The sequence below is a fragment of the Homo sapiens genome, chromosome 15 (assembly GCF_000001405.40).
Source record: "Homo sapiens chromosome 15, GRCh38.p14 Primary Assembly".
Classification (NCBI taxonomy): Eukaryota; Metazoa; Chordata; class Mammalia; order Primates; family Hominidae; genus Homo; species Homo sapiens.
In genome coordinates this window covers 53,184,398-53,200,546 of record NC_000015.10, presented here as the reverse complement: position 1 = coordinate 53,200,546, position 16,149 = coordinate 53,184,398, and the positions used below count along the sequence as shown (strand labels likewise).

The 16,149-nt window shown below is 39.8% G+C and overlaps 1 long non-coding RNA gene across 5 annotated transcripts in view; it reads right to left on the bottom strand.

Moving 5' to 3' along the window:
* Window positions 1-16,149, bottom strand: part of LOC107983981 (uncharacterized) — a 417,903-nt gene that overhangs the window by 21,108 nt on the left and 380,646 nt on the right. For 3 of the 5 annotated variants that reach the window (XR_004837530.2, XR_007064641.1, XR_001751548.2), the window contains one exon: window positions 6,486-6,919. The exons of 1 other annotated variant lie outside the window; for it this stretch is intronic. This is a non-coding gene — a long non-coding RNA (uncharacterized LOC107983981). Of the gene's footprint in view, window positions 1-6,485; window positions 6,920-16,149 lie in introns of those variants that run through there. One more of the 5 variants, XR_932257.3, reaches the window with a different exon arrangement.

Below are 16,149 nucleotides of genomic sequence, written 5' to 3'. Positions count from 1 at the left end.
TTTAAATTGTTTTCCCCTAAACATGTAATTCTCTGGAAATGGCGAAGAAATTGCTGCTTTTAAATCAAGTTTCATGATCAGATACTAGGTTTTGGATGTGATATTCATGAGACATCTGTAACAAGTGAGGTTACTTAAGGGATTTATAATAATTTGCTTTAAGATTTAAAAAGAAAAATATAAAAATACAGAACGACATGACAACTTTACATGCATGGACCATGTGCACCTAAAATTTACCTCTAAAGAACTAGTTAACCAAAAATCTTGCCATAAAAGCTGAAGCCCACATGCACAAAACAAAATGATTGCAAGAAAGCTCTAGATTTCGAGCCTAATTACATGTTTCTTGAAATAATACATGGTGCTGGCATGAATTTGCTATATTGATAAAAGAGATGTCATATTGCTTTATTTTTTAAATCAAATCTTGAATATAGCTCTAAGCCCCTAATCTCTATGGTGGAAAGGAAAAAAAAATCAGCCTCTATTATTCTTGGAGCACTTTCTTCAATCTCTCTAAGGAATTAGAAAAGAATATGGGGTGTTTGTGGCATCAGAAAACAGAAGCAGAGCTTCAACCCTGGCCCATCATCATCACCTCTGAATGTCATTGCCCAAAACCATGTAAGACAGTTAAAGGCAGTAGGATTTCCTTCCTCTGTACAAAGTGAGGACACCCAGATTGCTCACCACAAAAGCCATAGTGCTTAGAGTCTAATCATCATCACCATCCACCCACCTTCTAACATCAAGGTAGTACTCATTGGAAAGCCTGCCCCACTTGGATGTTGCATGCCAGTAGGGCATGACCATTTGCTACTCACCCCCCAACGCATACCCCTAATCACCCACACACATGGTCAAACTATTTCTTTCCCTTCACCTTTTGGAGCGCCTCTTCTTCTAGGACAATTCAACTTTACTTTCTGCAACGTAAGATTTGGTTACTGGACAGGAAATTATATCCTTCCTTGAATCTTCTCCAACAATGAGAATGAAATGGAGAATAATACTACTGCTGACTTCCTGTCATGTATGCAAATCCCCTAGCCTGGAATCTGGTACAGAAAAGAATGCTCAAAAAGTCCATTCCATCAACCATCATAGTTCCAGACACTATATATTTTTGGCACTGGGAATAAGACTCACATTCTATAGTGGAAGCAATTAAGAGAATAATTATAATTAAAAGGCTGTAAGATTCAGGCACCAACCAGTCAACAGAGGCTGGACACAACATTGAGTCCCAGAGGTCCCGTCTCTGATGGGCAAGTCTTAACTGCTGAGTTGCTGAAATTTGGGAAGACTAGGAGAGGGCTGGAGGAGGGAAATGGGAGGCATTCTTTGGGCCTGGGCTGTAGCTGTTTACTAGCCAGAACATAAACACTTTGATATTTTAACAACTGTGGGGCCACACCAGTGTATACCAGCTAACTATCAGTGCTGATCACATAACAAAAATATTGCAATATCAGAGGATGCTTCAGGAGCTCGGAGTACCTGGTTGGCACAGAAGCTTTTAATCTGGGATATTGCCAACTGGACAAATTCAAAGAGGGTTTTCAGGTAAGTGAACTACTTGGTCAAATGCACAGAGGCTAAAGAGAGCAGAGTTTTAACTGAGAAAGAAAAAGTAATCAGTAGTACCATCATTATTATTGATAGACACAAATTACCACCCTTGAGTGGGTAAGTGTCTATGTGGCTTTTCCAAAAGCCCAGAGTGCTCATCTTGTTGAGGCATTGGGCTCTGCCCTTACATTGGCACCTGCGTCCCAATATCTATGGTCTGCATCCTCAGCCCCTATCACAGGCCTTACCCCTGTGTAACTTTCCTGTTATCCCTACTCAGGCAGGAACATAGGTCCATCTCCTTCAACTGCTCACATCAGAGCAGCTTTCACACAAAAACAAGTCTTTCCCTGGCACCTTTATAAACAAGCACCTGCAGATGAGCTGGTCTCAAGGAAAAGTGATTCCAGGGGCTGCCAACCCAGGGAAGCGCCCACAGGTGATCCTGTGAATGCAGAAACACTTATCCATCAGTGATTGGGTGGCCAGCCAGTGGGGATGATCAAGACGATGAGAACACCACCATTTGGATCAATGTGGCCAGAAAGCGACGGTCAGAATGAGGGGAACATTGCTCAGTTTGGACAACTGGCTCACCTTTGAAGAGTAACTAACATCAAATAGGAATTCAGGTTGGTTATGAAGATGCCACAGAGTCCATTGAATTGACATTTTGCTGGCTGCAGCCAATACACATCGCCCCCCAAAACAAATGCACTCTGTTCTTTTTAACCAATTTAGATCTTTCGAGACTTCTATGAAGTGTTGTGTTGGCTTGATGGACACACTTTAAAGCAAACGTGTTCAGTGTTAAAGTTAAGACATGCTTTATAACTGGGCATAAACACTGAAAATGTCTGATCAAATCCCTTCCTTTTATGGAGCAACCACTCTGAAGCTCAGAGAAGTGGAGTGATTTGTCCAAAGTCACACAGCATTTAAGCAAGAGAGCCAGGGTGAAAATTGGAGTCTTTGGTCTCTAAATTCAGTGTCTTTTTTTTATTCTCAGGTGGCTTCCTTCAGTGTCAGATTAGAAGTCTAAAGAGGCATTCATCCTTTTTGCAGAGTAGAGACAACCTTGCCCCCACCAAGATATCCAGAGTGGACGCTCCCACCTAAATGAGGCAGGGCCAGTCAAATCCCAGAGCACCGGAGGCACAGAATCTGTGCCCTAAGCCTTAATGGGGACACCAATCTGGACTGCTACACGTTTAACTTTAATTTCACCATCACTCTCCAAAGCATTTTTGTCATAAGTACACACAAAAAGAGTACCCAGTGCTGCCTCGATGGGAAATTTCTGAAACAAGTGGAGACATTTCCGAGTCCCTCCTCAGACAGGGGGCGGAGAGAGGCCGCGTCGCCGCCTGTGCCAGGGCTTTGTGTGTGGGTTTGGGCGCCTGACAAACGCAGGGATGATCGACCGGTGGCTTCCTCCTGCAGAGCCACGTGCCAGCGCCTAGGGGGCGCTCTCGATGTGCTCAGCAGCCCCGGAGCCTCGCCGCTCCCAACAAAACCGAAATGACGCAGCGGAGCTTTTTTCTTTTTAATTCGCTTCAACATTTTAGGGGAAAGGAGAGACACAATTCTAAAGGGGGCTTTTTAAAAATTCGCCCTGCTTACTGAGACAGATAAATATTTTTAAATATATTATTGGGTTGCTTCTTCCCTGCCTCCCCGTAAAATCAAACTTTTTTTTAATCTGCCCTAAAAGTCAAGTGTATGTTTCACCCCTTTCTATGGCATATGGCAAGCTTTAATGATGCCAGAGTAACACTGTTTCCTGATTAAAATGGCTGGTTGAAAGGACCCGCTTTTATTCCTGCTACAACTTGCCATGTATCATAATGACCAGCTTTAAATCCATCAAAGTGGAGTACAGAGTGCGATCGCAAAGGTTCAGACATGGAAATCCAGTAAATTTTATCTGCTATTCAGCCAAGAGACGCTCCCGAGTAGAGCGCAGCCCTGCCGAGTTTAGATGATCAATTCTTCCTCAATTCCAATCATCCATCCAGGCCACGGACACGCATCTACCTCCGTCTCACATTCATTCCCAATATGCTTTCCTGAGGCTTGGGCAGGATATGCAGGGGCTTCCAGCCGCTTAAGGTGAAGAAGAACTTAGACATTATCATGTCTAAGAAGAAAAGAATCACAAAATTTTTAAAAGGCATAAAGAAACCCAAATAATTAATATTAAAAGATATTACTGAGAGACTTGCAAATATCTCGGCTACCAGATTTTTAAAGTAATTCTCTAGGTGTAAGGCAGGACTGATAAGAGATCGTTATTGCTAACACAAAAATGTTTCTGTGCATGTATTAATATGTGTGTACCTATATATAGATATATATCCTCCCACATCCAAAGAGGTCATTTTTTTAACGTGTATGTGTGCATACGTGAAAAATTCTGTGGAAGATTATCTTGCACACAAAGCAAATGGCCCTGCCCCCATTGTGCAAGAAGCAGATCCCCTGAGATTAGGGAAGAAGGAATTGCTTATGGTCAGCAGAGGCCGGGAGAACAATGGAGACCCCAGCTAAAGGCACAGCAGCAGCCTGCTAGGATGGGTGGGGGACTGACCACATGGCCATTGCAAACTAGATGGCATTGTCATTGTCACCAGAAGTGACTAAAAAGGGCTCAAATTAGCAATTGTTATGATTAGCAGGTGGTTTAAGAGATATGAGGCCCACGAAGTGACTCGGGCTGTGGGGGAGGGTGGGGTGGACACTAGAATGCATTTCAGTTTTTCCTATAGTGCAAAATAGAGAGGCTTAGAAGTGTTTCTTACTTGAATAAAAGAACTGCAAATTCTTTTAAGGAAAAAATTACGGAGATCCCTAAAATGCAAAGTATCCTCCAAGCCAAGAAAATGAAAATGTCCGGGTTCTTTAAAATAATTTTAAGTTATGATCCTATACAATCATTATAGATGAATTTTGATAAAAGTAGAAATTTAAATGCCATTAAATTACAATAGACAAGAAAAGTTGACAACTCTAGATTTTTTTAAAGGCAGCCTTACTCAGTGTGCGTTATTATAGTGCCTAAGAGATGTTTTAGACAAATGTAATAAAACACCTTTCTAACTGAAGAGTTTTTCACTTCTCAGTTCCTCAAAGAGTTCCTCACAAAACTGGTTACTTCTTATATAGATACAAAATACGTTTTTCATGTCTTGCCTCTCTATCTCATGAATCTCAGTACACAAGCAAACACTTCACAGCCTGCTTTTTTATTCTTTCTGTTTAAAAATCTTTGATAACAAATATTCACTGGTGAGCAATTTCCCCAGCAAGATGTCCCTAGGAATCTGTAGACAGAATTGTCAGGAATGGATAGTCTGGCTGCCTTTCTTCCTGTCACTGCCCACAGAGGTAGGCCCTACAGTGGATTCATGTTCAGGTAAATTTTTTACCAAATGGGCAGGATTTCTCTTTTGCAGTTGCCAGTAGCTGTAAGGCATGTGTAATAGAGACTGAAGACTGGATCAAACCATGAACTCATTTTCTCTAGGCCATGTTTCTGTTGGTCTGCAGCTCAAAGATGGCACCTACTTAGTGGAGTTAGCCAAAGATTCCCCACTGTATCAAAACTCATTCTGATCCATGCCTGGGAAGGAAGTGAAGGACTGATTTGTGCAAGGATGCTTTGGTGCGTAAGTCCAAAAAAACTTCATGGAACCAAAACCAAAACAAAAACCTGTTCAAGCAAAGGGATCTAGGGTGTAGAATCAACTCAGACTGAAGTCTGTCAAGATTAATAGATCTTATTGCACTGAAAATGTTAAGTGGGTTCCCAAGACAGGTAAAGTGGAGAATGAGGCAGTTACTTGGCAGTCCTGGTAATTTGTACCCCAAAAAAATCATACCTTTTAGAGTGTTACTAAATTACATTTGTTTTTCGTCGTTGTTGTTGTTGTTGTTTGCAAAACATAAATATATAAGTAAAATTATCATGGCTCTCTTTTTGTTCAAAGAAAACTTGAGCAATTTAATCCTATCTTTGGACTCAAATGATTCAGACATATGCCTTGCCAAGTGAAATTCCAGTAATTCAACATCTGTGATTTGGGACTCTTTCTTAGGTGTCAAAAGAAAGATTTCTTTTGTGTGTGTGTGTGTGTGTGTGTGTGTGTGTGTGTGTGTGTGTGTATGTGTGTACCATAATTTTACACAAATGTTCCCAAGACTAAAAAACTCATTATAAGTAAATGTACAAATACATGGGCTAGAAGTTATCTTCTCAAACCACAATGGAATATCTGCCTCATTCATTCATAACTCCACCTCACCTACACAACCTAAGTATCTGTCACATTTCTGACTAATTTCAGCAGATTTTGGAGGCAATCTACATCACTTACATACAACACATGTAGCAGCTTGCCTTTTCCATACAGCTATTCTGGTGGGCCCATATTTACTAAAGAATGGTTTGATTTCCTCCTGATTCATCTCAATCATGGCTTAAGAAAATTAGGTAGTCAAAGGACTCCAAGCTCGGTTCCTACTCTAAGTCATCTTATCTCTAATGAAATGAGGCCTGCCATAGCAAAATAGACCATCTAGCTCTTTGTGCCACCAGACCAAAAGGGGTTTTGTCCCCTGGATTATTGGAGAAATTATGGGCACTTGGACCTGCCCTTGATGATGTGCTTGGTGTGACCTCTGATATTTGTCCCCATCCTCTGTTGTATTGATTCCCATACAAATGGTCAAATTTGAACAAGCCTTTTAAAACACTAAATAATAGGCTGCTTGTATCCTGCAGGAAACTAGACCATTTAGCCACAATTGGAACTATTTTCCAGCAAAGTTGATGCATTTGTACCTCACCTGACTGAACAGAAATTAACCCCCATTCACGCCACTGACCCTACAAAACCCACTCACCCTGCTGCACTTGAACATATTTATTTTTATATGTTATTCACATATTGTTGCTATGCACTTATGTATTTAAGCAGTTGCATGCAGGCCACCAAGAGAGACTCAGTTATTTGTCCTTTTCATTAGTACTGTATTGGTGAGATGAATGTAACACAGGTTTCAGATAAGTGTAGTCTCTCTCATTACTGAAATCAAGAGGAATATTGTCTTTGATTGGATTACTCACGCTGTCAAGGTAAATCAGAAACATTATAGCAGGGAAAGCTCAAATGCCTGGTGACTTTTGTTGCTGACTTAAATGCACAGATGTTGGAAACAGATGCAAGCATGAGTGCTTCTTTCCCAAGATGTGTCTACAAATGTTTGCAGGATATAGTTACAGATGTGAAATCACTTATGTCCAAGGCATCTCTCAGTCCATTCTGCTTTTAGCATCAAAGATCTGTAAATAAAAGTATTCTTGTGTAAATAAAGGGCAAACTATTTCTATATTTAAAGTATATATTCTTATAATCATAGTATTTAAATAAAATTAACATGTGGTTCAAAAATTAAACAAAGAAATACATTGAAAAGAATAATATTGCTGTTTTGTTGCCAGTCACCTAACACACAGAAGTGTAACCATAATTATCCTGGCTTCGCTTTGTTGCAATATTCGATTACTGCTGCCAGAACCATTCAGTACCATGGACAGAGAAGGCACAAACTAAATAGCTAAGCAATGACTATGATACTTCAACTGGACACATCAAAGGAGAAAGAGGTAGTTCATGGCTAAAAAACACAATGAAAAAAATCTTTAACTTCCCAGGGTTAATAAATTGTTCATTTCACTAAGGACTTATGCTTACATTAAAATTATAAGTCTGTGGAAGATTTGCTGTATTGTGTTCTGCTATGGTTTGAATGTGTCCCCCCAAAATTCATGCGTTAGAAATTTAATCCCCAATGTAACACTGTTGAGAAGTGAGTCCTTTAAGAAGTGATTAGGTCATGAGGGCTGAGTCCTCATTGTCACAGGAGTGGGTGAGTTATAAAAGTGGCCGGGCACGGTGGCTCATGCCTGTAATCCCAGCACTTTGGGAGGCGGAGGCGGGCGGATCACGAGGTCAGGAGATCGAGACCATCCTGGCTGACAGGGTGAAACCCCGTCTCTACTAAAAATACAAAAATTAGCTGGGCGTGGTGGCGGGCGCCTGTAGTCCCAGCTACTCAGGAGGCTGAGGCAGGAAAATGCCGTGAACCCGGGAGGTGGAGGTTGCAGTGAGCCGAGATCGTGCCACTGCACTCCAGCCTGGGTGACAGAGCAAGATGTCGTCTCAAAAAAAAAAAAAAAAAGTGGCCATCTCTTGCTGTCTGTCTTGAGCACTTGGATCCATCTTCCATCTTCCACTCTTCTACCTTCTACCCTTCCACAGTGGAATGACCCTTGCCTCATACTGGTGCCATGCTCTTGGACCTCCCATCCCCCAAAGCCATGAGCCAAATAAACTTCTGTTCTTTATAAATCACCCAGTTTCAGGTATTCTGTTATAGCAACAGAAAATTAACTTTAAAATATGTCCCTAATTTTAAAATGTAAAATATTGTACATTTTAAATACCTGTTATGTTAATCACACCAAAATGTTCATTTTAACATGTAGCCTTGACAATAGCTCTAGAAGCAATAAAAGAATTTATGAACTTGCTAAGGAGTCTTTTCTGCTATTAATCTTCATTGCTACTTGGTCTTCATACATGTATAATACACATATAATACAGCCATATATACGCTAATAAGATACTTCTTTTTTTTTTTTTTTTTTTTTTTTGACACGTGGTCTCATTCTGTTGCCCAGACTGGAGTGTGGTGGTGCGATCTCAGCTCACTGCAACCTCCACCTCCTGGGTTCAAGCAATTGTCCTACCTCAGCCTCCTGAGTAGCTGGGACTACAGGTGTGCACCACCACGCCCCGCTAATTTTTGTATTTTTAGTAGAGACAGGGTTTCACCATGTTGGCCAGGCTGGTCTTGAACTCCTGACCTCAAGTGATCCTCCCGCCTTGGCCTCCCAAAGTGCTGGGATTACAGACATGAGCCACCATGTCCAGCCTGCTAAGAATATTCTTAAGGATAAATTTGTGTACTCAAGGAAAACCGCATGCCTAATTACTGATATTTACACATGAAAACATCAACCCAGCTTTTATTCTTTCTATGAAATGAACAGTAAAATAATTTTAACCAATTTGTGGAAATTTGAAAATAACTATTTTAGATATAAAACTTTAAAAAATCAAATTCAGACTTTAATTGAGCAAAATATTAAGGGAATTTATTAAATACTATAGTGTCAAGCATGACTTAAATATTGCTACAACTTTGAAGGAACTCAGAATCTAATGAAAAATAGATATGGGAAGGAAAAGGGAAAGAAACAAGCGTATGTTGAGTGCATGATATTTGCCAAACACTCAGTTATGAATTTTACATATATTATATTATTTTCATAGATATTGTTATGGCTATTTAAAAATACAAAGAAAGTGAAGTTCAGCAAGGCTAACTACTTTTTCCAGATAGCTCGGCTAAGAAGTTGTAGAAACAGAATTCAGGCCCAGATCTTCCTGATTCCAAAGCACATGATTTTGTTTCACTACTCAAGGCTTCCCCAGAAGAAGACTTGAACAATTATGAATGGCAAATGCAGGGAGACCTCATAAATCAGGTAGCATTTCAGCCCAAATTATTTTGCCAGTCATTTACAGAGAGCACCAGGCAAAGCTATTTCTTGAGATACTTTATATTTACAACAGGTTGATGAGCCCACGCTTGTAATTGCTATCTTGATTTTTCTTGCTGAGGGAAGGAATCTTGCTAATTTGAAAGGGTTATCCAAAACAAAACACAATGTCAAAGTCTTTTACACTTACATTTTTGGCAACAACCCCAATAGTATATTCCCACCCATCATATTAGAAAAGGCTATCAAAATGAGTTTGCATTTCCGGCTGCACAGAGAAGTTATGATAGAAATTGGCCTAGGGCTACTGAGTCACCTAATGACAGCAGCTTTAATTTAAAATATGTTGTGGGTAATAGAGCAAGTGGATAATCCACTTGTGGATAATTGAGGGTATATTTGTGCCCACATTTTAAGATCTAGGTATTTCATAGAGGTCCTCTAATATAAGATGTCATAAAATAACCTGTTCCCAATGCACTAGTATCCATTAAAATCAATAGAGTTTTGCAAGCCATGCATATGATACATAGTATGAAATGTAATTAGTATTGGAAAATTGCTGTAAAATCTCAAGCTCTTTGTACTTAAATGACCAAGATGTTTTCCACTGGGGCTCCTTTTTTAGAGCAACCTAGTGAATAGAGTCTGAAGGATTAAATAATAGGCGTCATGCCGGTTTTTAAGCAAATGAAGCTGTTGTTTCTGTACATAGGAACACAAAATTTTATCTCTACAGCAAAACACTACAGTAGATGGCACTTTCTGGAAATGAGGTGAAAAGCAGAATTTAACAGCCCTTCGGCTGAAAGTTTTGCATCCTATATTAGACCTGCTGGGAATAAATTATCTAAGGCTGATATCCCTTAGGCTAAGGGTTTATAATGGAAAACTCCCTCCCACCAAAAGCTTTAAATATGAAGTAATACCAAGAGCCACCATGATTTCAATTCTCTGTTCTAAGTAGAGATACTCACAATGAGGCATACTAACACACATATGCGAGATCCAAAAGATGCTTAGAGAGAGAGAAAGAATAAAATGCACTTTTTCTTTCTTTCTTTTTAACCTTATCTGTGCATTCCTGGGTCACACAAGCATTGTGCTGACTCTAGATGAAAACACCCCCTTGATGGAGGATACATGCTGAAAGGGAAAATTCTGAATTATGTTCTCTAAATTATCCAAGGCTTGGAGAGCAAGTATTGATTTTAAAAATGACTGAGCCAGACCTCGTACAGCAGAGCCCCCTCCTTCCCTCTTTTCCTCCCTCCCTCCCTTCCAGCCCGCACCCCGAAGCACAACAAGAGGTCTCATGCACTGTACAGCCACCACAAGGCCCTGGGCTGGCATTGTTTCAAAAAATCAGAAAGTCATCCATCAACCAAAGAGTCATTGGAATAAGTACATAGTAGCTAAAGATACATTTTATCTCCTAACAGGCTCAAATTCAATGAACTACGAGGAGAATTAGAATGATATTGGACCGAGTAACTAATGCACTCTGGGAACCATGAAGTGTTAAGGTGTTTATTTTGCTGCCTCATATAAAAGAATGAGAAGTTCATCTGCACAGTTAGGCCTTCTGTTTGCTCCAGCTCTAAATAACTGAGGAGCACCTCTAATCCAGACCTCTTTTATGGAGGCAGAGTGAGAACCAGAATTTGTTCTGCAGTTGCTTCTCTTAGTCTGCAAACAATCTAGGTACAGCAGGAGCTGCACTGTTCTTATGGGTGATTGTTTGTGCGTGTGTATGCGAGCACACGTTCACCTGCTTGTGTGTGGCTCCCTAGGAACTATTACTCAATATTAATTTTATGGGGGAACTGAAGACTAAAATTATTAGTGTCCATGCATTGGGAACATCACTTAGTTTTATTTAGTGAGTAGTAGTGAGCAACATAATGAGCACATCACAAATTCAGTCAGACAACACTAGGCTTTTACTTTATATCCTTAGGAGAGCATATTTTACCTGTGTGAAAAACTAACAGGGTGCCACAAAGTAATAATTATGCTCATTTACATGGCTACATTTACAGCACAACTTGAGACATATACAATTTCAACTTCCTTCTCTTTATACATTTCAAATGAAATGCAGTTGTTTTATATATATATATATATATATATATATATTTATTATACTTTAAGTTCTAGGGTACATGTGCACAACCTGCAGGTTTGTTACATATGTATACATGTGTGCTGCACCCATTAACTCGTCATTTACATTAGGTATATCTCCTAATGCTATCCCTCCTCCCTCCCCCCACCCCACAAAAGGCCCTGGTGTGTGCTGTTCCCCTTCTTGTGTCCAAGTGTTCTCATTGTTCAATTCCCACCTATGAGTGAGAACATGCAGTGTTTGGTTTTTTGTCCTTGCAACAGTTTGCTGAGAATGATGGTTTCCAGCTTCATCCATGTCCCTACAAGGTACATGAACTCATCATTTTTTATGGCTGCATAGTATTCCATGGTGTATATGTGCCACATTTGCTTAATCCAGTCTATCATTGATGGACATTTGGCTTGGTTCCAAGTCTTTGTTATTGTGAATAGTGCCGCAATAAACATACGTGTGCATGTGTCTTTATAGCAGCATGATTTATAATCCTTTGGGTATATACCCAGTAATGGGATTGCTGGGTCAAATGGTATTTCTAGTTCTACATCCCTGAGGAATCGCCACAGTGTCTTCCACAATGGTTGAACTAGTTTACAGTCCTACCAACAATGTAAAAGTGTTCCTATTTCTCCACATCCTCTCCAGCACCTGTTGTTTCCAGACTATTTAATGATCACCATTCTAACTGGTGTGAGATGGTATCTCATTGTGGTTTTGATTTGCATTTCTTTGATGGCCAGTGATGATGAGCATTTTTTCATGTGTCTGTTGGCTGCATAAATGTCTTCTCTTGAGAAGTGTCTGTTCATATCCTTCGCCCACTTTTTGATGGGGTTGTTTGTTTTTTTCTTGTAAATTTGTTTGAGTTCTTTGTAGATTCTGGATATTAGCCCTTTGTCAGATGAGTAGATTGCAAAAATTTTCTCCCATTCTGTAGGTTGCCTGTTCACTCTGATGGTAGTTTCTTTTGCTGTGCAGAAGCTCTTTGTTTAATTAGATCCCATTTCTCAGTTTTCGCTTTTGTTGCCATTGCTTTTGGTGTTTTAGACATGAAGTCCTTGCCTATGCCTATGTCCTGAATGGTATTGCCTAGGTTTTCTTCTAGGGTTTTTATAGTTTTAGGTCTAACATTTAAGTCTGTAATCCATCTTGAATTAATTTTTGTATAAGGTGTAAGGAAGGGATCCAGTTTCAGCTTTCTGCATATGGCTAGCCAGTTTTCCCCGCACCATTTATTAAATAGGGAATCCTTTCCCCATTTCTTGTTTTTGTCAGGTTTTGTCAAAGATCAGATGGTTGTAGATGTGTGGTATTATTTCTGAGGGCTCTGTTCTGTTCCATTGGTCTATATCTCTGTTTTGGTACCAGTACCACGCTGTTTTGGTTACTGTAGCCTTGTAGTATAGTTTGAAGTCAGGTAGCATGATGCCTCCAGCTTTGTTCTTTTGGCTTAGGATTGACTTGGCAATGTGGGCTCTTTTTTGGTTCCATATGAACTTTAAAGTAGTTTTTTCCAATTCTGTGAAGAAAGTCATTTGTTGCTTGAAGGGGATGGCATTGAATCTATAAATTACCTTGGGCAGTATGGCCATTTTCATGATATTGATTCTTCCTATCCGTGAGCATGGAATGTTCTTCCATTTGCTTGTGTCCTCTTTTATTTCGTGGAGCAGCAGTTTGTAGTTCTCCTTGAAGAGGTCCTTCACATCCCTTGTAAGTTTGATTCCTAGGTATTTTATTCTCTTTGAAGCAATTGTGAATGGGAGTTCACTCATGATTTGGCTCTCTGTCTGTCATTGGTTTATAAGAATGCTTGTGATTTTTGCAGGCTGATTTTGTATCCTGAGACTTTGCTGAAGTTGCCTATCAGCTTAAGGAGATTTTGGGCTGAGACAGTGGGGTTTTCTAGATATACAATCATGTCATCTGCAAACAGAGACAATTTGACTTCCTCTTTTCCTAATTGAATACCCTTTCTTTCTTTCTCCTGCCTGATTGCCCTGGCCAGAACTTCCAACACTATGTTGAATAGGAGTGGTGAGAGAGGGCATCCCTGTCTTGTGCCAGCTTTCAAAGGGAATGCTTCCAGTTTTTGCCCGTTCAGTATGATGTTGGCTGTGGGTCTGTCATGAATAGCTCTTATTATTTTAAGATACGGCCCATCAATACCTAATTTATTGAGAGTTCTTAGCATGAAGAGCTGTTGAATTTTGTCAAAGGCCTTTTCTGCATCTATTGAGATAATCATGTGGTTTTTGTCATTGGTTCTGTTTATATGCCAGATTGCATTTATTGATTTGCGTATGTTGAACAAGGCTTGCATCTCAGGGATGAAGCCCACTTGATCATGGTGGATAAGCTTTTTGATGTGCTGCTGGATTTGGTTTGCCAGTATTTTATTGAGGATTTTTGCATTGATGTTCATCAGGGATATTGGTCTAAAATTATCTTTTTTTGTTGTGTCTCTGCCAGGCTTTGGTATCAGGATGATGCTGGCCTCTTAAAATGAGTTAGGGAAGATTCCTTCTTTTTCTATTGCTTGGAATAGTTTTAGAAGGAATGGTACCACCTCCTCCTTGTACCTCTGGTGAAATGCGGCTGTGAATCCGTCTGGTCCTGGACTGTTTTTGGTTGGTAAGCTATTAATTATTGCCTCAATTTCAGAACCTGTTATTGGTCTATTCAGAGATTCAACTTCTTCCTAGTTTAGTCTTGGGAGGGTGTATGTGTCGAGGAATTTATCCATTTCTTCTAGATTTTCTAATTTATTTGTGTAGAGGTGTTTATAGTATTCTCTGATGGTAGTTTGTATTTCTGTGGGATCGGTGGTGATATCCCCTTTATCATTTTTAATGGCGTCCATTTGATTCTTCTCTCTTTTCTTCTTTATTAGTCTTGATAGCAGTCTATCAATTCTGTTGATCTTTTCAAAAAACCAGCTCTTGGATTCATTGATTTTTTGAAGGGTTTTTTGTGTCTCTCCATCTCCTTCAGTTCTGCTCTGCTCTTAGTTATTTCTTGCCTTCTGCTAGCTTTTGAATGTGTTTGCTCTTGCTTCTCTAGTTCTTTTAATTGTGATGTTAGGGTGTCAATTTTAGATCTTTCCTGCTTTCTCTTCTGGGCATTTAGTGCTATAAATTTCCCTCTACACACTGCTTTGAATGTGTCCCAGAGATTCTGGTATGTTGTGTCTTTGTTCTCGTTGGTTTCAAAGAACATCTTTATTTCTGCCTTCATTTCGTTATGTACCCAGTAGTCATTCAGGAGCAGGTTGTTCAGTTTCCATGTAGTTGAGCAGTTTTGAGTGAGTTTGTTAATCCTGAGTTCTAGTTTGATTGCACTGTGGTCTGAGAGACAGTTTGTTATAATTTCTGTTCTTTTACATTTGCTGAGGAGTGCTTTACTTCCAACTATGTGGTCAATTTTGGAATAAGTGCGATGTGGTACTGAGAAGAATGTATATTCTGTTGATTTGGGGTGGAGAGTTCTGTAGATGTCTATTAGGTCTGCTTGGTGCAGAGCTGAGTTCAATTCCTGGATATCCTTGTTAACTTTCTGTCTCATTGATCTGTCTAATGTTGACAGTGGGGTGTTAAAGTCTCCCATTATTATTGTGTGGGAGTCTAAGTCCCTTTGTAGGTCTCTAAGGACTTGCTTTATGAATCTGGGTGCTCCTGTATTGGGTGCATATATATTTAGGATAGTTAGCTCTTCTTGTTGAATTGATCCCTTTACCATTATGTAATGGCCTTCTTTGTCTCTTTTGATCTTTGTTGGTTTAAAGTCTGTTTTGTCAGAGACTAGGATTGCAACCCCTGCCTTTTTTTGCTTTCCATTTGCTTAGTAGATCTTCCTCCATCCCTTTATTTTGAGCCTATGTGTGTCTCTGCACGTGAGATGGGTCTTCTGAATACAGCACACTGATGAGTCTTGACTCTTTATCAAATTTGCCAGTCTGTGTCTTTTAATTGGAGAATTTAGCCCATTTACATTTAAGGTTAATATTCTTATGTGTGAATTTGATCCTCTCATTATGATGTTAGCTGGTTATTTTGCTCGTTAGTTGATGCAGTTTCTTCCTAGCATCGATGGTCTTTACAATTTGGCATGTTTGGGTTGAAAATTATTTCCTTTAAGAATGTTGAATATTGGCCCCCATTCTCTTCTGGCTTGTAGAGTTTCTGCTGAGAGATCTGCTGTTAGTCTGATGGGCTTCCCTTTGTGGGTAACCTGACCTTTCTCTCTGGCTGCCCTTAACATTTTTTCCTTCATTTCAACTTTGGTGAATCTGACAATTATGTGTCTTGGAGTTGCTCTTCTCGAGGAGTATCTTTGTGGTGTTCTCTGTATTTCCTGAATTTGAATATTGGCCTGCCTTGCTAGGTTGGGGAAGTTCTCCTGGATAATACCCTGCAGAGTGTTTTCCAACTTGATTCCATTCTCCCCGTCACTTTCAGGTACAACAATCAGATGTAGATTTGGTCTTTTCACATAGTCCCATATTTCTTGGAGGCTTTGTTCATTTCTTTTTATTCTTTTTTCTCTAAACTTCTGTTCTTGCTTCATTTCATTCATTTGATCTTCAATCACTGATACCCTTTCTTCGAGTTGATCGAATCAGCTACTGAAGCTTGTGCCTTCATCATGTAGTTCTCGTGCCATGGTTTTCAGCTCCACCAGGTCATTTAAGGACTTCTCTACATTGGTTATTCTAGTTAGCCATTCGACTAATCATTTTTCAAGGTTTTTAGCTTCTTTGCAATGGGTTCGAACTTCCTCCTTTAGCTCGGAGAAGTTTGATCATCTGAAGCCTTCT